This window comes from Homo sapiens, chromosome 1 (genome assembly GCF_000001405.40).
Source record: "Homo sapiens chromosome 1, GRCh38.p14 Primary Assembly".
NCBI lineage: Eukaryota > Metazoa > Chordata > Mammalia > Primates > Hominidae > Homo > Homo sapiens.
The window spans coordinates 33,789,866-33,811,571 of record NC_000001.11 but is presented as its reverse complement, the minus strand read 5'-3'; the positions used below and the strand labels follow the sequence as shown (position 1 = coordinate 33,811,571).

The following is a 21,706-nucleotide window of genomic DNA, read 5'->3' as shown; positions in this document are numbered from 1 at the left end:
TTTCAGGGATAAGCTGAGTGTGGAGACGGATTTGGGAAGCAGTGAAATCACTCTGGGGGCCTGGCACTGAGCTGAGTCAGGGGCCTTGGCAGAGCTCTTGGGCATAGACATTCTGAGACCTAATGGAGTGGCCTTGACAAGGATATCCTGAAATTCCTCTTCAGGAGGACCAAGGGGGTCACGGAGGAAGGAACTGAGGGGCAGGCAGAACCTGGAATGAGGTCAGACTCCTAGTTAAGCAGCATTAGGTCCACAGCAGCACTCAGCTGGTTTGGAGAATTGGAGTGCAAATTGGGAAACAGACAGGTCAGCAGAGTAAGGCGTGGGCTGCTTAGGTGTCCATAGGTGCCTGCGATCCACCTAGCTTTATGTCAACCTGACAGGTTCTAGCCCACACCCTCTTGACAAAGAGGAATTGCATGATCATAGTGGAGTCGGGGTGTGGGGGTAAGTGGGGCATGCAGAGGGGTCGCTTAGCCTGCCTTAGAAGTTCATCATTGCCTACAGAACAGCAGTCACAGTGCTCCAGGCACTGCGGCTTCCCTTCAAGCCTCCCAAGAACTGTAGAGGAAGGACCCAGGAAGCAGAAGGTTATGTCCAGGGTGGGAACTGTACAGATGCAGTGTCTTCTGGGTGGGGAGTGGGAGGCAAGAAGGGGAACTGGACCTAGTCTTAATTCAAAGGCTTGTCTTTCATCTCCTCTGCAGCCCGCATGTGTGATGCCCACCTTCGAGGCCCCTCGGGCATCATCACCTCCCCCAATTTCCCCATTCAGTATGACAACAATGCACACTGTGTGTGGATCATCACAGCACTCAACCCCTCCAAGGTAAGCCTCTTGGGGAGCGGGGTGGTGTTCTGTGGGCAGGGCTAGGTTGGGGACAGTTGGCCTACAAGGTTTTTCAAACCCAGAACTTACTGATGGTAGATTCTCTGCAGACAGTTCTTTTACTTTTTTTTTTATTAATATCGAGTGGATAAAAAGCAGATTATAAAATATAAGCAAAATATAAAGAACACCAATACAACAAACACCTGTGCAGCCATCGTTCAGCTTAAGGGGAAAAGAAAATCGTTACCTTAGTGATGCAGGTTCCTCACCAATCCTGTTTCATTCCCTACACCCTCAGAGGTAACCATTACCTCAATTGTGTGTTTATTATTCCTTTGTTTTTCTTTATACTTAGCACTTAAGTGTGTATCCCTAAAAATACATTGCTTAGTATGCTAACGTTTGAACTTCATATAAATGTAATCATGTATGTATTCTTAATCAACCTCACTCAAAATTGTGTTCCTAAGATTTATCTAAGTTATTGTATGTAGTTTGTACTTCTACATACATTTTTTCATGTTTATTTCCTGTTGAGTTTTTTTCTCCTGTGCCCTTTGTTCTCTCTTATAAATTTTACAAGTATGTTGCCAAGATCCACAAAATAACCTGTTGGAATCTTTATTTTAATTTTATCAAAACTACAGATTAATTGGAGAAGAACTGATATCTTTTTGATACTGAGTCTTCCAGTTCATGAGTATGGTATATCTCTCTATTTGTTTAGGGTTTCTTTAATGGCTTGCAATAAACTTGTATAATTTTTTCCATTACAGATCTTATGTATTTCTTAATATATTTACTCCTAAATATCTTATATTTATCGTTGCTATTATAAATCAAATCTTTTAAAATTGCACATTCTACTTGTTTCTTGCTGGTGTTTAGAAATGCAATTGATTTTGTACTTTGATTTTTATATTAGCAACTATCTTGTAAAAATGTATCTGAATTCTTTGGGCTTTTCTACATGGATAGTCATCATCTGCAAAAAAATGATGGTGTTGTTTCTACTTTCCATTTCTTATACCTTTTCTTTTTTATTTTCTTGCCTCAGAGTTCTGGTTGGAACCTCCCAGTATAACATCAAATCATTATTATGATGGTGACCCCTATGGTCGTTGTTTGATATTTAATAGAATGTTTTTATTTCTTCACCATCAAACATCATCAAGTATGATGTTTGCTGAAGCTTATTTTTCATTTGTAGATACTCCTTTTATAATAGAATTAGGGAATTTACTTCCTAATCGTAGTTTGCTAAGAGCTTTTATCAAGAATGGTTATTGAATTTTATGAAGCATCTTCCTATATCTATTGATACAATCATATAATTTTTCTCCTTTATTCTCTTAGTATAGCAAATATTGCCTTTTCTCATGTCAAACCAACCTTGCATTCTTAAGATTAACATAACTTGATCATTTAGTATTGTCATTTTTATACATGCCTATATATTGTTTAGTAATTTGTTTCTATTTTGTTAGTGAGCTTGGCCTGTTATTTGTTTTTTCATATTGCCTTTGCCAATTTTTGTGTCAATATATTGCTAGCCTCAGAAAATGATTTGAAGAGTATTTCCTCTCTTTCTATCCTTTGGGGTTATTAGTGGAAGATTGGCATAACTTTTGCCTTGAAAGTTTGGTAGAATTTTTCAGCAAAACTATCGTGGTCTGGTGTCTCCTTTGTTTGAAGATTTTAGACTATAGACTTAATACATGTAATGGCTAGAGAATTATTTTGGTCATCTGTTTTTTTTTTCTTGACTCCATTTTAGTAAATATTAAAATTTATTGGATATAAAGTTATACATACTATCTCTTATTATAGTTATGATACCTGCCATTGTTGTGTTTCAATTCCCTTTTTCATTTCTAATATGTATCATTTTTTAATTGGTATTGGCAGTGGTTTAACATTTGTTAGTCTTTCCAGAAAATGAATTTTTGTTTTCTTACTATTCCTTTTAATATATTTATTTGCTAATTTGTCAGTTTCTGCTCTCATCTTTATTACTTTCTTCCTTCTAATGCACTTGAGTTTATTCTGTTGTTCTTTTTCTAGCATCTTAATTTTGATGCTTTGTTCATTATTTTTCAATCTGATTTAAGCATCAAAGGCTACAAATTTCCCTCTGAGGACTACTTTGGCTACATTCCTACAGATTTTTACAGTTATTTATTTTCTGTTATAGTTTAGTTCTGAATATTTTTTAATTTACATTATTGTTTCATCTTTTAAGCATGAGCTATTTAGAAGTATTTTTTAATTTTCAAAGGATTTTTGTAACTCTCTCTTTCCTACTGTTTCTAAATCTTGTGGTCAGGGAACATTGATCTGTATTTGAATCATTTGAAATTTGTGCTTTTAGGACCAGAAATGGTCATTTTTCACATAGATTCTGTGTAGGCTTGAAAAAAACCCTGCATTTTGCAGTTTTTGTTTTCTAATATGTCCATTACATCAAGCTTGTTAATTGTGTTTGTCTCTTTTATATCTTCATTGATTTTTCTTGTCTTCTTCATCAATCAACGGCAGAGGGAGGAATATTAAAATCTTCCATTATGATGGTGGATTTGCCTATTATTCTTTAAAGTTCTGTCAATTTTTGCTTCATGTATTTTGAGACTGTGTTATTAGAGCATCAAAGTTAAAACTCAGAATTATATATCTTCCTGGTAAATTGAACTGTTTCAAAAATAATTATGTAGTAACTCTCTTTATCTGTAGTAATGTTTTTAACCTTAAAGGCTTTTTCCCTCCATCCATTGCATCAGTTTTCTCTTGGTCTTTGTCTAATAAATATTTTCTATTCTCTTACTGTTAACTTTTCGACTTCCTTGTGCTTTATATGTGTTTTGTGTATAGCTGGATTTTCAAAAATCCCCTCTGACCATTTGTCTTTTAACTAAAGAATTTAGACCTTGTGAATTATACAATCATTTCTATTCTTTGAAATTTGTCCTAAAATACTCTAGAAATAGCAATATGCCTACTTAATAAAGCCTAGCATTAAACAATAATTTTGTGTTCTTCCTGAAAAGCCAAGGATCTTAGGACACTATGACTTTAATCATTCCTTCCAATTCATACTCTATGGTGTGTGTATATTATGTTACCTTAATTTTTTCTCAAGTTATTATTGTTATTGTTTGATAAAGCCACTGTCCACTTAGGTTTACTCATATATTGACCACTTATTTGTTTACCACTCCTTCTTGTATATCAGTCCTTCTCTTTGGAATATCTTTCAGTGCAAATACATGCTTTAAAATTTATTTTCTTGTCAATGATAAACTCTATTAGTTCTTGTTTGTCTTTTTAAAAAATAATTTCAATTTTTATTTTAGATTCGGGGGTACATGTGCAGGTTTGTTACATGGGTATATTGCATGATGCTGAGGTTGGGGTACGGATCCTGTCACCCAGTCTGTAAGCATAGAACCTAATGTGTAATTTTTTCTTTGTCTTAAAATGTCTGCTTACCCTTGTTCTTGAAAGAACGCTAGTATTCACTGGACATTTGATTATCAGTTGATAGTTCCATTCTCTCTGCACATGGAAATATTGTTCTGGTGTCTTCTGGGTTTCACTGTTGCTGTCAGTTTATTGTCATTGCTTTGTATAGCATCCTTCTGGCTGCTCTTACTGTCTTTTCTTGTTCTTTAATGTTATGTAGTTTCACCCTTATGTGTCTAGGTGTGAATATTTTTTGTATTCATCCTGTTTAATTAAGTTTCTTGAATCTATGGATTGTATCTTTCATCAGCTTGGGAAAATGTTTACCCATTATCTTTTCAAATGCTTCTTTTTTCTTCTTCTAGAAGACTGACAAGATATGTTCATCTTTCTCACTCCATCATCAGTATTTCTTAACCTCTCTCATACTTTCTCTCTTTCATTCTGTTCACTAATTCTCTGTTCAGCTGTGTCCAGCCTCTGTTAAATCCATTCACTGAAGATTTATTTTAATTTCAAATGTAGTCTGCACTTTATGAAGCCCTATTTGATTCTTTTTCAAACGTTCTTAGTCATATTGTCATATTTTATAAACTCTTGCTCCATACTCTTATGTTTAGATCATTCTTGAATTCTTTCCATAATTAAACATACTTATTTTATATTTTGTGTCTGTTAGTGTCAATATCTGAAGTTTTTGCAAATTTGATTCTGTTTTTTCTCACCTCTTGCACTCAGAACCATGTTTCCTTCTTTGTTTTATATTGTTTGATTATGTGGTTAGAAGGGTAAATTTTCTCTCTGGTAATTCTTTGAGACCTGGGTGGATGGTGGGTTCTTCCAGAGAGGGTTTGCATCTGCTTCTGCCTAGTGCTGGGGGCATTACCAGCCAGAAACCTCTTCACACAAAATTCTCAGTATGGAGGTTTCAAACCACCCAAGTAATATGAAGGCTGCAAACCCATGTGAAAACTGACTTACTGTTGTGAATTCTCAGTGGAAACATTTTTCTTGTCTACTCAGTGTCAAGGTCTAAGATAAACAGTCAGCCTCCAGATCCTCCCAGAGGGTGGTAGTGACAGGTGAGAAGGAGATAGGCTCATTTCTAATTCACCTTCACACTATGGGTGCAGATTTAACTAACCCAACTCTTTCAGAAGTATCGTATTACAGTCACCATTGTGCTGGGCCCTGAATTTTGTCTCCTGTTCCCTCTTTTCTATGAGTTGCTGAAAAGTGAAGCTATATTGACCGAATTTTTAAAAGGTACTCAAGACCAAAGCCGTCTTCATGTTCTGAATCACATTTTAGATTCCTCCATTCACTGTGTTGAGTATTCCTTATTACACTAATGTAGTCTACTCAGGCTACTGTAACAAAATACTGCCCACTAGATAGCTTAGACAACAGACATTTATTTTCTCACCATTCTGGAGGCTAGAAGTCCATGATCAAAGTGCAACTAAATTCGGTTTCTGATGAGGGCTCTCATCCTGGCTCGTAAATGGCCACCTTCTCACTGTGTCCTCTCATGGCTTTTCCTCTGTGCACACACGAAGAGAGTGCTCTTTGATGCCTCCTCCCCTTCCCATAAGGACACCACTACCATCGGATTACAGCCCCATCCCTATGACCTTATTTAACCTTAATTACTTCCCTAAAAGCCCCATCTTCAAATATATTCACATTGGGGATTCAACATGTGAATTCAGGGGGACATATTATAATTCAATCCTTAACACTAACTTGGAAAAAGCTGCTTTTTTTATTTTTATTTTTATTTTGTCATTTTAAAATTTTACCTAACACTTTAAAATTGTTTGGTCCGGGTGCCTGGAACCACAGTGCTGGGAACACTGGAAGCAGATTTCCTCTGCACAACATTTTACAAAGAAAGATTCACATTTAATTAAATTATTTCATGATGTACCTAGTTAATGGGAAAGGACACTTCAGCCACATGGGGTGAGGGTGGAGGCTAGGCCAGAAGGACTTAATACCATGAAATCATATTAAGTTGTTGACTAGAGGGCTCTTCCTTGGGCACTGTTACAATCCTTATCTCCATTTTCTTTTGAACCTGAAGGTGAGGTGTCGGGGGAAGTCTAAGTAAAGTCTGAGGATTTTCTAAGAAACAATTAGATTCACCCCCAGAAGGCCTAGCCTTGGTCAGTGTGTGGAGACCAGTGACCTCCATATGGTCACTCCCCTACATGCCTTGCAAGAGATCCCACCAGCCTGAGTTTCTAAAGATAGCACCTCTGCAGAGCACCGCTTAGAGTGTGCAGAGCAGTGTTTCTAATATCTCTGTGGGGCCTTGGTGGGCTTCAGGTAGTGCTGAGGGAGCCCAGAAAGGCTGAAGAGAACCCTATCCTGATCCAGGCGGGAGGAGACCCAGGGAACATACAATGCAACAAGGAGGGTCTAAGTGTGGAAACTCAAAGTCTAAGACTGAGGAATAGAAGTTGTCTTCTGGGAAACAGCAAGGACAATGGATGCTGTGTGCCTAACCCTGTTCATGGAACTGGCCTACAGGTGAGATACAGGTGTATCCAAGGACTGCCTATCCACTCACCTTCAGACATCTCCTTCAGCAAAAAGCATAGTCTCTAAGCTCACAGTATGTTTTATGAGATGAGCATTCATTCATTCATTGATGTAGATATGGCCTCTGCCCTTGAGGAGTGTGCACGTAAGAGTGAAGAACAGGTCTGAAAAAAAAAAAAAGAGTGCAGGTAAGTCCTGATGGAGGCATGTCCAGAGCGCTATGGGAAAACTCAGGGAAGAGCTGCTAACTGGGAGATAAGGGAAGTTTTCACAAAGGAAGTGACATGTCAACAGGGTCCTGAAGGATGAGTAGGCTTGGAAATCAGTATCTCAGGGAGGACAAATGTGCAAAGGCACTGAGGTTTGGAATAGCCCCTTAGAACTGGAAGTAATTCAACATGCCTGGATGCAGGTAAGGACAGAAAGGTAAGCAGGATTCAGATCATGGTGAGCCCACATGCTTGGCCCAGAAGTTTGGGTTTTATCTCAAAACACAGATTGCTAAGGCTAGCAGTGTTAGGCTGTTGTTAACAACAATAATAGCTCTTATTGTATGCCTGTCCCATTACAAGCTCTAAGCTAAGCTGTCTATATGAATGATTTTATTTCATTCTCGTAATAGGACAATGAATTTTATTTTAATATACCTATTTGGTAGATAAAGAAACTGAATCATGGAAAGGTTAAAGGTTAGGAAACAGCTGAAGCACAGAGCCAGTAAGTGGCAGAACTGGGATTTAAACCCCGTCTTTCTAGCTCCAAAGCCCATGCACTTACATAGCTGGGCTGTGCTGCTGGATGGAACAAGATCTCAGAGTAGATGAAAGGGGCTGGGCTTCACCTCAGTGGGATGAGCCTGGAAGGACGAGGATCACTCTATCTCCTGAACTAAAGCAATAGCAGGAAGATCTGAGTTTTTGGAAAATTACTCTAGCAGCAATGGAGAAGTTTAGAGGTGGATACTGGAAGGAGAAAGACCAGTTAGGAGGATGAAGCAGTTACCTAAGTAGGAAAAATGGGGACATCCACCAAGGCTTTGGAAATGTGGAGGGGAAAACAGATGAGAGAGATTTAGGAGATAGAGTGGGACTTGGTAGCTGATTGGATGTGGGAGCTGAGGGAGGAAGAGAGGTCTTATTCAATATTGTATCCCAAGTGACCAACGTGGTTCCAGGCACATAGTAGGTACTCGGCCTATATTTATTCCATGAACAGATGAATGATGACTTAGTGCTTTCTGGCTTGGTCCAGTGGTAGAGTTAAAAAGGAAATACAGATGGAGGAACATGCTTTGCAGGGGTCAGGAGAGAAACAGTGCATTTGGAATGTCTGTGGTTCATTCAATGTCATTTGGATATACTGGATGGAAACTCTGGGTAAATCTGAGTTTAAGAGAGAGGTTTGGGTGTTATCTCAGCACGTGGGTGAGAATAGAAGCTTAAGGAATGGACAACATTTCTTGGAAAGACTGAAGAGAATAAGAAAATTCAGAATGGATCTGAGAATACCGTCGTGACAGGAGAAAGAGCAAAATCCAGTGAAAGAACAGAGAAGGAGCAATCTGAGAGGCGGGAGGAGAATCGTGATGCAAACACAGGAAGAGTTTCCAACTAGGGCATGTCTGATCATGGCAACGATGACAAATGTCTTGCTGGAAAAGTGCTAGAAGGAGACCATTGGCTTTGGCCTTGGAAGAAGACTTTGCAGTGAAGCTCTAGGGGCAGCAACAGACAGCAGTAGGGTGGGAAGCAAATGGATGGGAGGTGAGGCTGTGGAGGCCAGGATGGGCAGTAGCCGGCAAGGAACATAAGATAGAGAGAAAGTTTGGGGTTACTTTGGGGCATGTGTTTAAAATATTGGAACTGGAGTATGTTAGTAGGCTTAGGAAAAAATATGCACAGAGGGAGAGAGTGAAGGTACAGGAGAAGAGGGATGGTGACAGAAGGGAGATTCTGGAGTGAGAGGGCCACGGGATTGAGAATGCAGGGCTCCCTTTGCGAGGAGCAGGGGGAGAAAGATGCTGTTGTTAGAAGGAGCTGAAAGGTTTGCTTGTGGGAGTGTAAGAGGGACATGTGTCCCCTTGCTCTCCTCATAGTCATGGAATGATTATGATGCATCCCTGACACCTACGCAGGAGGATCCTTCCTGTAATTCCATCTCCCTTGTAGGACCTCTGCTACCTGGGCTTGGCAAGGAGCTAGGAATGTCCCAGGGACTGGGGCCCTCCAAGGGCAATGAGAAGGCCCAAAGAGAGAAGCAGGGATGCTGTGGTGTGGGAATGGCTAAGAACCTACATCAAGACACCAGCATTAACTGAGCATCTATGGGCTGTGCGCCTCTGCACTGTGGGAACAGGAAGAACTTACAGTCTTATTGGAGAGGCAAGTTAAGGATATGTCTGTACTCAATAAACTAGGAGTAAGGGAAATAAAAACACCCCAGTGCATCCTCCTGGAAACTTCATAGATTCAAGGAACAGAGGAAAGAAGGCTCAGAGCAAGTGATGCAGGCCTACTCCACATGCAGCCTCCATGCCCTCCCTTCGACTGGGATGTCCTCGGGCAATGTTGACCTCACCTTGGGCATTTGGGTTATCTCAGTCCTTATAATATTAATCTGACATTAACATCTGCCTACAATAATTTTTCCCAAATTTCATCAGAAATGCCTTGGAGACACTTTAAAACCACAGATTCCCAAGCTCTTTTCCCCAAAGATCTGATTCAGTGGGTCTAGGGTAGGTACCAGAACTTATTTTTAAAGACGACCCTGGTGGTTCTGACCAGCTAAACTTCTGTCAACAATGCAATTCCTTCTTCCAGCAAAGCACACAGTGGTCTCTCTGCCCCATCTCTCCCTTTGGGCAGCCCCAGCTTCAGCCACACTGAACTCAGGTTCACAGACACACCTGGCCCTTTAAGACCTGTCTGGGCACATCTGGTCCCAGTGTGCCTTCCCTTCTCCTCCAGGCAAATTCCTATCCCCCTTTGAGAGACAGTCCAAACAACCCCTCTTCTGAGAAGCCTTCCTAACTTCATCATGTGTTGCTCCTTCCTGTTCCTACAGCACTTTTTGTTTTCTTGCATTTAGAATCTATTTCCCCCATAGCTCGTGAGCATCCTGAAAGCAGGAATAGCACTTTGTTTATTTCTTCCACAGTTAGCACAGTGCTGGGCATAGAGAAGCAGCTCAGCGATATTTGAACATGTGAGTGACTGTTGGAGGAGGAGCTCCTCTGGGATGGTTCTGCCCATCCCAGAGGCTTGAGATTCAGGCCTTCTTCCTCCAGGGCCTCCTCTTGTTAGGTCCCTTCAGCTCAGCCTCATGGAAAAACAAAGATGTAGACAGGACTGAAACCCAGACCTGCCTTGATGCCCCCTACCTACACACATCTGTCTTTCTTTTGCAGCTTCTCAGTATGAACACAAAACATTTGATCCAATTTGCACATGAGCCTCACTTGATTTGATCAGGATAGTTAATCCACCTTTGCTAGAAAAGAATGAAAAGCGAGACAGAAGAGAGATGGAGAGTGAGGATGGGAGGGAGAGGGAGGGGGCATGGAAGGAAGAGGGAAAGGAAAGCTCGTTATATGAACTTCAAAGCAAAGATAACAGCGTTTTGATTATTCACTCCTTGGGGATTATCACTGTCACTGTTTCCTTTGTAGACCTGAAGAACTGAGAATTAATTCTCCAGGCAGGTGATCGGCAGCTAGTGCAAATGTCAGGGACATACTCGTTGGCCCATTTGTTCACTCACTTATTCATTCAGCAAACATTTACTCAAACACCCTCTCTGTGCCAGGCCCTGTGCAAGACACCTGCGATCAGAGGTTTGCCGTGTGCCTCCACAGCCCCTCCTCACATCTGGGGGACCCTTTAATAGCCTCCTCAAGTCCAAAGCCTCATTCCTTTCCCTTTTACAGCTGTCTCGAAATCATGTGCTGGCATTTCCCCTCGCCCAGATCTGGCTGTGGCCATGTGGTATCCCCACACACCTTCTCTGTTGCTGAAGACAAACCCTGCCCGCTTGCTAGCCAGGATTTTGTGCCCCTCCTGTCTCCCATCCATGCTTCCCTGGTTTGAGCCCTCATCCCACTGTATTGTAGTCTATGTACTCAGGGTCTTCTGTGAAGCTTTCTAGAAACTTAGAGGTCTCTATTGGCAGCAGCCATGTTATCTTGCCTGCCAATGCCCCTCCAAAGCCCGGCACTTGGCAGGTGTGTAACTGTTGAATGAATCAGTGAATAAATGAATCAGTCAATCCATAAGTGAATGAGTCCAAGGGCTTACTGCTCTCAGAACCACCAAAATGAAACCTCAGGTAGTGACCAAAGTTCCAGAACCTCTGACCCTTCTTAGTACCTGCTGGAGGCCTCTGTCCTTGAACTCCTGGGAGTTCAGGTCTTCAGCCTTCCTACTGGCCTCCCCTCCTCCTCACCCCAGGAGTTAATTCTCTAGCTCTTCCCTAGGGCCTCAGCAAGACCCTGGAGGGAATCATGGTTCAAGCTGTGCCCAGGAAAAGTGAGTTCCCTTCCTTTCATGGAGCTAATAGTTACACTGGCAGCAACATTGTAAACTGAGGCTGGGTGGGCCAAGGTCAGCCCTCAGGGGCTCAAAGAAATGCTCTGAGGAGAAATATGGGAGGTAAGGCTGGAGCACAGCATTGTGGCAGGGCCTCTACCTAGCCAGGAAGTGGCAGGGGCAGGCCTTGCAAAGCCCACACTTTCCAAGCCAAGATGCTGAACTCTATCCTGCAGTTTCAAGAGTTGGCAAACTCTTCTGCGGTGACAAACACCTGTCTTCAGAACCTGTAGCCATTAGGTCGTAATTGACTGGGAGGTGCAGAAAATTCCTCTGCAGAAGCTTAAAAAACACACCGTTTATTTTCTCCACATACCAAAAGTCCAGAGGCAGAAAGTCCAGGGCTGGCTTGGTGGTTCCCTCCGGGTCTCATGCTCCTTGTATTTTTCCCTCTGCTGCTTTTCATATGACTCTCATCCTCATGATCACAAGAAGGTTGCTCCCTCTCTGTCCTCACATCTGTATTCCAGGAAAAGCAAGGAGAAAGATGAGGAAATGGTCTGAGGACTCCTCAACCCATGTTTCCTTGCCCAGAGCTCTGTCACATAGACATCTTTAGCTCTGAGATTGGCAAGATACATACATTGCCACACTCCCAATAAAGTTGGGGTTCTGTTAGGGAGAAATAAATGGAGGAAGGGACATTAAGTAACCCACTATCCATGGTGTTCACAGCATCCCAAATTATGAACTAGATCAAAATGGAGCTGTTTTGGTTTAAGCAGAGGCTTCCCTCCTCTGGCTCCTCTTCCACCCTTGTGGGTTGGCCCTGGAGTACCTTTATGGAACCCTGGGGTACCTGGGAGCCCAGTTTGAAAACCATTGCTCTAGGGAAGCCATCAGCAAACTTCTTCTGTAAAGAGCTAGACCATAAATATTTTAGGCTTTAAAGTCCATGTAAGGTCTCTGTTGCATATTCTTCTATGTTGTAGGTTTTGTTTTTTCACTCATTGAAAGTGTAAAAAATCATTCTTAACTCCAAAGTCCACAGGTCCACATATAAAAATAGGCTATAGGACAGATTTGGTCTGAGAGCTAGTTTTCCAACCCCTGCTGTAGGAGATAGGGAGGTGCTAAGAGCATTTGGTACAGAGTGAAGGATGGGCTGCAGAGACAGACAGCCCAGTTAGGAAAGTGTTGTAGCAAAGCAGTCCTTAAACAAAACAGCCTCAGTCTACATCTCCCGGGACTCTAGCTTCCCACAAGACTGCCCTGAGCTGGCAGATCCTCTGCAGGCTTGTGCAGGCTTTGGGCACATGCTGGCAGCACCTGGAGTCCTGTCTTTTGGCTAATCCTGGACAGCACGTGGCAAGGGGAGAATGTTCTCCAGGGCCTCCAGTGGGTGTCCTCCAGGGTCCCACTCCATCTCCCATGATTCTCAGGACAAGGTGGCTGTGACACCCCCTAATTTCTCCTCATGCTCTTGGACCCTGCATCAGCCTCCACTGGTCTCTCTGCCTCCAATCCTCCCTTCACACTGAATTATAGCTTCCCATCGACTTGACCATGAAGTCCAGACTGCCTGCTCTGGCTGTGGGTAAAATCCCCTGCAGACTCAGCCAGGCTCTTCTTCCTGTCCCACTCTCCTTGGCCCTTCACTTCTCACAGTGTAGCCTGGGCTGAGCCCACACACACCCTTCTCCATCCCGCCAGGCCCAGACCCACCTCCTCTATGGACCCCCTTCCATCTCTCTCCTCTTTGCACTCCTCCAGCACTCACCATCAGCACCATGTCCTGGGCATTTAGATTCTACTCTAAATTGTCAGGCAAGCAAGATAACTTATGGGAAGCAGCTAGCTCTGGGCTTGGCACATGGCAGGTGCTCAGTAATTATGTCCTAGATGATGGGTTTGTTTATTCATTTATCTAATGGGTTTAAATTGGGTGTCTGAGCTGTATACAAATGTGCCTCTTTGATCATGCCTATTTCATGTGCTGCCATTTCTCCTGCCTCCGAAAGGCGCTTTGTGAGCTTGATTGATCTGCATGTTAGTTAATGAGTCATTATAGGAGCCTGTCTTTAAACAAAGGCCAAAGCAGAGAAGGAAAAAAAGAAACGAAAAAAAGAGAGTGCTAGTACATTGTGCACTAGAGGCTCGTCCTGAAACTGCAGCATTGTGTATGTTGAACAGTCTTCTTGTGTAATTAGCTCCTGCATCAGGGTCGGCACTCTGAAATGTGGTTCACATCAATGGCAGCTCTAACCAGTGATGTGAATCATTTTATAGCTCTGGGTTCTGGCCTTCAAAGCAATATTTTCCCATTATAGGCGTAATAATCATACACTCCCTTTTTGGAGGTGGCTGGGTGAGCCGTGTCCTCTGCCCCAGGGCTGGCTGGAAGGGGCTGATATGGTGAGAATATGCAGCCGGGCCCCTCAGTCCCTGCAGAGCCCAGGCCCTTCCTCCAGCAGAAGACACTACCTGCCTTGTGGTGTTTTATATGCAGCAGCTGTTTCCTGACCCCCTGCTGGGACCCAGAAAAAAGAACTCAAGGAAAGTGTGAGAGAAAACAGAGGCTTAAGTCATGCTTCCTACCTTGTGGGCCTGTGACCTTGTTGGAACATCATGAGGCAGTAGAGCAGAGTGACAAAGAGCCTGGCCTCTGACTGCCTGCCTGGTGGGAGTCCCAGCTCTACCACTTGCCTGTGTGACCCCAGGCAAGTTGCCTAAATTCTGTGCCTAGCCTGTCCCATTTGTGAAATGGAGGTACTCAAAATAGCTATTGTGCTGTATTGGGGGAACCTGCCCCTAATATTTAGACATCGATTCTTTCTATTTTCCATAAGTGTCAGCTGGCTGAGAAATAAAGAGAAAGAGTACAAAGAGAGGAATTTTACAGCTGGGCCTCCAGGGATGACATCACATAACAGTAGGACCGTGCTGTCCACCTGAACCTTAAAGCCAGCAAGTTTTATTAAGGATTTCAAAAGGGGAGGGGGTGCAAGAACAGGGAGTAGGTCACAAGATCACATGCTTCAAAGGGCAAAAAGGAGAACAAAGATCACATGCTTCTGAGGAAACAGGACAAGGACAAATTCAGAACTACTGATAAGGGTCTATGTTCAGCTGTGCAGGTATTGTCTTGATAAACATCTTAAACAACAGAAAACAGGGTTCGAGAGCAGAGAACCGGTCTGACCTCAGATTTACCAGGGTGGGTTTTTTTCGCCACCCTAATAAGCCTGAGGGTACTGCAGGAGACCAGGGCTTATTTCAGTCCTTGTCTCAACCACATAAGACAGACACTCCCAGAGCGGCCATTTATAGACCTCCCCCCAGGAATGCATTCCTTTCCCAGGGTCTTAATTATTAATATTCCTTGTTAGGAAAAGAATTTAGCAATATCTTCCCTACTTGCACATCCATTTATAGGTTCTCTGCAACAAGAAAAATATGGCTCTATTCTGCCCAACCCTGCAGGCAGTCAGACCTTATGGTTGTCTTCCCTTGTTCCATGAAAATTGCTGTTATTCTTTTCTTTCTCAAGGTGCACTGATTTCATATTGTTCAAACACACGTTTTACAATCAGTTTGTACAGTTAACACAATAGTGGTCCTGAGGTGATGTATACTCTCAGCTTACAAAGATAACAGGATTAAGAGATTAAAGTAAAGACAGGCATAAGAAATTATAAAAGTATTAATTTTGGGAACTGATAAATGTCCATATTAAAATGAAATCTTCACAATTTACATTCAGAGATTGAAGTAAAGACAGGCGTAAGAAATTATAAAAGTATTATTTGGGAACTGATATATGTCCATATTAAAATGAAATCTTCACAATTTATGCTCCTCTGCCACAGCTCCAGCTGGTCCCTCCATTCAGTGTCCCTGACTTCCCACAACAGTGCTGCATTTCTCATGAGTTGATATGTGTAAAGTGTTCAGAACAGAATTGAGCACATTGTAGGTCTCAGCTCTTGGAGTGATGAAATCGCATAAGAGAAGATGATCAAAGACTATGATTGTCTTGAAGAATCTCCTAGACCAGGGATCAGCAAACTATAGCCTACAGGCCAAATACAGCTCTTTGCTTGTTTTGTAAATAAAGTTTTGTTGGAACACAGCCACACCCATTCATGTACACATTGTGTATGGCTATGTTCATGCTACATCAATAGAGCTGAATATCTGTGATACAGATCACATGACACACAAAGGGGGAAATATTTACCATCTGTCCCTTTACAGAAAAAGTTTGCCAACTTTTGTTCTAGATGGTAACCACTGTGAGGGGTCTGAGAGCCTAGCAATCCATCCATGCTAGAGAAGCAGGAAAGCTTTGGAAATTGTTCTCCCAGTCTACATTTTTTCAGCCCCTGGCATGGGCCTGGCCCACCGACAGGAACTGGTACAGAGGCAGTGAGGCCTGACCCCTGCCCTCCAGGAGTTCATGGTGTAGTGGAGGAATAAGTAAACAGACCCATCACAGTCCAGCAGGTAAGTGCTAAAACAGACGAGAGGAAGGGGCTGAGCAGGGGCTGCTCCCCTTGTCAAGGTTAGTCAGAGAGAACTGAGACAAGTCAGGCTCACAGATGAGAAGAAATATTCTAGGGCAGTGACAGGGAGCAGGAAGAGCCTGCGTAAGTCAGGGTCATGAATAGGCTGCCCTGGTGTGAATGCCCAGGACTTCAAGTGGCCACACAGGCTGTGCAGTGGAGGGCAGTCAGCAGGGAGCAGGTGCAGAGATGCCCTTCTTATGTTTCATGCTAGGAAATGAGACTCCAGGAAATGTTCTGTAAAGCAGGAGTGTGGAGTGTGAGAGATGGGTGGGAGATCCCAGCCTGAGGAAATGATCCCATGATGATGCCATTAGCCAACAGGGAACATTCTGGATAGGAAACCCAGAAGGGCCAAGGAATCCCCACTCACTATTGACAAATCCCATCTCCTCTTTAATAACTCGCTCCAAACACTGATTGCTACAGGCTCACACCCCGCCTCACCTAGACGTTGCTGCAGGCCCACATCCTACTTCACCTAGACCTTGCTACAGGTCCACATCCCACCTCACCTAGACCTTGCTACAGGCTTACATCCCGCCTCACCTTGACCTTGCTACAGGTCCACATCCCGCCTCACCTAGACCTTGCTATAGGTCCATACCCTGCCTCACCTAGACATTGCTACAGGCCCACATCCCACTTCATCTAGACCTTGCTACAGGTCCACATCCCGCCTCACCTAGACCTTGCTACAGGCTCACATCCTACCTCACCTAGACCTTGCTACAGGCCCACATCCCACCTCACCTAGACCTTGCTACAGGCCCACATCCTACCTCACCTAGATCTTGCTACGGGCCCACAACCCACTTCACCTAGACCTTGCTACAGGTCCACACCCTGCCTCATCTAGAACTTGCTACAGGCTCACATCCCACCTCACCTAGACCTTGCTGCGAATTGGACTCCGAGCTTTCAACTCTCCCTCAATGCTCCTGCTCCTAGAACAAAAATCTCATGTCATGCCTTTACTGCCAACCCTTCCATAACTCCCCGTTGACTTTAGGACAAAGCCCAAAATTCTTAGCATTACCGGCAGCCTCTCATAATCTGACTGCTCCTATTTCTCTCCTATCGCCACCCTCCACCACCTCCTTGCTTAAACAACTACTCAGTAGTTAGACCTCTCTGGATAAGTCATCCTGTTCCACACCGCTGCCTTTCCCTCTGCCTGGGTTGCTTTCCCTTCCATATCCATTGGTTGAACTCCAGTTCATCTTCCAAACTCAGCCTGAGTTTCCTTTCCTCCAAGAAGCCTCCTTTAACCTTTCTCCCAGTCAAAAGCAATCACTTCCTTCCTCTTCTGTGTCTATCTGTAGACCCACTGACGTGCTCACAGATACTATTATCCAGAGATGCATCTTTCTGTGACTCTCAGGCCACTGCAGAGGGGCCCTGCATAGACACTACCCAGGCTTATGAATGAGGGCAGTGTCAGTTTGCCTCTGGGATACCTGAGAAAGCACCTTGGGGTAAGGCTCTGCAGGGTCCCTGGCAGGATGTGGGTGCTGAACGGTTTGATTTGGATGGAGGAAACCTGCAGAAGGCGTCAGCCACAACTAGGAAAAAATATCCACAGAAATTATATACTCCTTGAGTTGTAGAACAGAAAGCAAAGGAGCAACTTCAGTCTCCCTGTTGGGGGAATGAGGATCATCATCAGATTGAAACCAGACTGAAACAGACAAAAAGAGATACAGATTAGACATCAGGAGTGAGTGCCTGTGTGTGTCCTGTCCTTATGAATGGCACCATCCCCCACCCAAACAATTGCACAAGCCAGAAACCTGCAACTTATCCTGGATCTTTCCCTCCCCTCAGCACCACATGCATCCTGTCTCAAAGCCCTAAATATCACTAGGACCCTCCCTCTTCTCCGTCCACACTGCTACTCTTCCATCGTTCACCTGCACTACCAAAAAAGCCTGCAACCATCCTCACTCCTGCCAATGAGTTCCACACATACTGCCACACTGACATTTTCTCAAACACCTATGCGTCCCTGTCACCCACTATTTAAAACTCTACTGCTCCTCCCCTGGCATAAATTCTAATTTTGGAGGGTAGAGGTATGAGACCTTTTGAACCAAACTCCAGGAAAACTTTTCAAATTCCAGACCTTCCCAAGTCACCTTCTTGCACTGAAGGCCCAGTCACATTATCCCCGAGAGCCAGGCAGCTAGCAGGTATGTTCAGTTTGTAGATCTGCTAGCAACAGACACTGAATAATTTCTTCTGGAATGTTCCATCTCTGCCATAGCTCAGGCCCTGTGCACCTGACTCCTTCCCAGAGCATCCCCCTCCCTCCCTCTCCAAGCATCCCCCTTTGGCCTGATGGGGTCATCAGTAGCCTTCAGAATTTCCTCAGACACCCCCATCTCCAGTAGCACCTGCCCCTGACTCCAGCTGGGTGAGCCATAGGCTCCTCTTCGCTCCCACAGCCCCCTGTAGCATCCATCCCACCCCAGTGCTGTGGTTATCAGTTTGCATTTCTATCTCCCCTTCTTAGCGAGGGCAGATACCATGTCATGCTCACTGTGGAAACCCACCGCCCAGCCTGGCATATGGGGAGTGCTTAGTAAATATTTGTGGAAGGCAGGATTAAAACAAGAGGGGGGAATCTTGTTGAAATCTCTTTCTGAGAACATTCATTTATTCAACAAATAAACAAAAAGGATGGAGAAAAGCAGTCAGAGGAGAAGACGAGAGAAACTTCTGCAGGTCCCTGGGGGCAAGAGAGCTGAGATTCCACATGTGGCCTGAAAAGTTGCCAACAAGCCCATGGGGATTTCTGTGCATTAAGGCGTGAAGAAAGAGTCTAATCATCTCGCTGTTGGCCAGATGTGCCCGGTTGCTGTGACAGCCACCAGAATTGGCCAGATGTGCTATGAACATCTTCAGAAACATCAGGGGGCCCTGGAGACTGCATGGCCTGGAGAGAAATAGTTCACACTCATTAAAGTGGGACAGAAATGGTCAGTTTGTTTAGGATGGTGTCACCAGTGACTCTGAGCATTGGGACATAACACAGAAAATCCTTCCTCCCCTCAAGGCTTTGGAAGGCTTCCTCACAGCCCCTGCCTGCTCCTAACCCTGTGTTCCCTCCCTAGGTGATCAAGCTCGCCTTTGAGGAGTTTGATTTGGAGAGGGGCTATGACACCCTGACGGTCGGTGATGGTGGTCAGGATGGGGACCAGAAGACAGTTCTCTACATGTAAGTGCAGTGGGGCATGTTGTTTGGAAGGTGGGACGGTGGCTGGGGTTGGTGGGGTGGGGTTTGTGGAGTCCTGCCTGGTCCCTAGACCATACTACAGCAAAGACAGTATCCTGCAATGTTCCTAGTTTCAGCAATAATCCTTCTACCTCTCTCTACTCTGACCAAGGGGAAAAGAGCACTGGGCACCTTCTCACTGAATTCATATGAAATGTGAATAGAATGAGCAGTCTGTTAGGGGGCAGGGGAGATCGAGGTTTTGTGGATGAACCTGGAGCCTTCCACTGGCTGGCTGCTTCCATGCAGACCTTGATTCTGCCACCCTGACAGTTTTTACTCCAGGCCACATCCAGCCGTGGCAGCCTGACCTCAGACAGAGATAATGGAAATGAGTTGCTAACCTTTCTGCATGCTCAGAGCTCCCTGGGAAATGGATGGTTTCAGAGAATCAGGACCATATAGACATAGTGGCCACACTTCCTGAGCCAAAAAAGACCAGTATGACATGTTCCAGACAAGGGAGAGGAGAATATCAAGCTGTCATGGGATTCTGCTATGTTGAGTCTGTGCTCTTGGGGACCATTTAGCTTCTCTTTTGCCCACCACCAATAGCCTGACTTGAAAACCAGGAAAAAGGCCAAGCGTGGTGGTGTATTGATGTAATCCCAGCACTTTGGCAGGCCAAGGCAGACGGATTGCTTGAGCTCAGGAGGTCAAAACCAGCCTGGGCAACATGTTGAAAACCCATCTCTACAAAAAATTCAAAAATTAGCTGGATGTGGTGGTGCACGCCTGTATAGTCCCAGCTACTCAGGAGGCTGAGGCAGGAGGATAGCTTGAGCCTGGGAGGTTGAGGCTGCAGTGAGCTGAGAGCATGCCACTACACTCTAGCCTGGGTGACAGAGTGAGATCCTGTCTAAAAAAAGAAAAAAAAAGTCAGGAAATGCTTCTGCTCAGGACATGTGGCTTAGCTTCAGAGACAAACACCCTGACCACATCCATCTCCCTTCCAGGAAGGAGGTGGAGTGTCACCAACATTAAACACCTACCATGCTCCCAGGCACTGGGATGGAAACTTTTGCATCAATTATCTCGCTTAAGCCCTGGTGTTATTATTCTCTTTTAACAGATGGGGAGACTGAGGCCCAAAGGTTTCAGAGAAGGTTGATAGCAGAACCAGCACTCAAGTTCATGTCTTTTGATTTCAGCCAAGGACAATGTCCCATGCCACACTCCTTCCCAACAAGGCTAGCTCCAGGATATCTCCTTCTGGTTCTAATGCTGAATGAAAAATGGCCATTTAGTAACAGCTGGCTTGTCCTGAGGCTGTTCTTTTCTGGGTGTTTTTCACAACTTCCCTACACCTACCTGGAGATGATGCTATACAGGCAGTTACATGACTCATCTTATCCAATGGTACCCACTGAATCAGGTGACATGGCTGGGACTTGGGATTTCTCCAGACAAAGGAATGGAATGTGAGCCCACAGGGCATTCTCCCCCATGCCTAATTCACTGTATTAGTGAGGGTTCTCCAGAGAAACAGAACAATAGGAGATAGAGATAGATAGATAGATGATAGATAGATAGATAGATAGATAGATAGATAGATAGATAGATATTAGAGAGATGATAGACGATTGATTGATAGATGATAGATGATACACAGATAGATGATAAATAGATGATAGATGATTGATAGATGATAGACAGATAGATGATAGATAGATAGATAGATAGATAGATAGATAGATAGATAGACAGACAAACAGCAAATAGATAGATAATTTGTTGTAAAGAATTGTCTCATGTGATTTTGGGAGACTGACAGGTCCCAAGATCTTCCAGGTGAGTTAAGAAGCTAGAAACCCAGGATAGTCAATAATGGAGTTGCAGTCCAAATGCCAGTAGGTTCAAGATCCAGGAAGAGCTGATGTTACAGTTCAAGTTCAAAAGCCAGAAGTGAGCTGATGTCTCAGTTTAAAGCCAATTGGACAGGAGGAATTCTCTTATTCAGGGGAGGGTCCATCTTTTTGTTCTGTTTGGCCCTTCAACTGATTGGATGAGGTCCACCCACCTTGGAGAGGGCAATCTGCTTTACTCAGTCTGTCGATTTCAGTGTTCATCTCATTCAAACACACTCTCACAGAAACACCCAGAATAATGTTTGACCAAGTAGCTGGGTACCCTGTGGCCTAGTCAAGTTGACACATAAAATTCACCATCACACTTACCTCTCCCCCTCACTTGGTGCATCCCCATCACTCATTTTCTGCCCTAGTTTACTGACCCATATGGTGCCTCAGCTCTTTGTGCCCAAGAGACTAGGATCCCAGCTCTCTTTCCTCCCACAATCCCAATGTGCTTTGACATAGAGAGAACCTTAGAATAGCAGAACTTTTGAAAAGGCTATTGAGGATCATACCATACAATCCCCTCATTTAACATAGAGTGAAAAAGCCCAGAGAGGCTCAACCACTTGCCCAAGGTCCCACAGCAAATGAATGGTGGACTCAGAGCCTGGTGCTGTAATTGGGTCAAACAGAGGAAAAGCAGG

The 21,706-nt window shown here is 44.0% G+C and overlaps 1 protein-coding gene and 1 long non-coding RNA gene across 13 annotated transcripts in view; one reads left to right on the top strand and one right to left on the bottom strand.

The window, feature by feature from the left end:
* Positions 1 to 21,706, top strand: part of CSMD2 (CUB and Sushi multiple domains 2) — a 651,845-nt gene that overhangs the window by 354,271 nt on the left and 275,868 nt on the right. For 11 of the 12 annotated variants that reach the window (XM_047443685.1, XM_047443656.1, NM_052896.5 and 8 more), the window contains exons 10-11: positions 708 to 829; positions 19,046 to 19,149. The exons of the other annotated variant lie outside the window; for it this stretch is intronic. In XM_047443685.1, the coding sequence (XP_047299641.1) occupies positions 708 to 829; positions 19,046 to 19,149 (226 nt within the window). The remainder of the gene's footprint in view (positions 1 to 707; positions 830 to 19,045; positions 19,150 to 21,706) is intronic. 12 annotated transcript variants of the gene reach the window in all.
* LOC124903976 (uncharacterized) lies at positions 6,268 to 20,581 on the bottom strand. The gene is made up of 3 exons (XR_007065710.1): positions 20,518 to 20,581; positions 11,741 to 11,883; positions 6,268 to 7,002 (listed from the first exon to the last, which is right to left on the bottom strand). It is a non-coding gene; the product is annotated as an uncharacterized LOC124903976 (long non-coding RNA).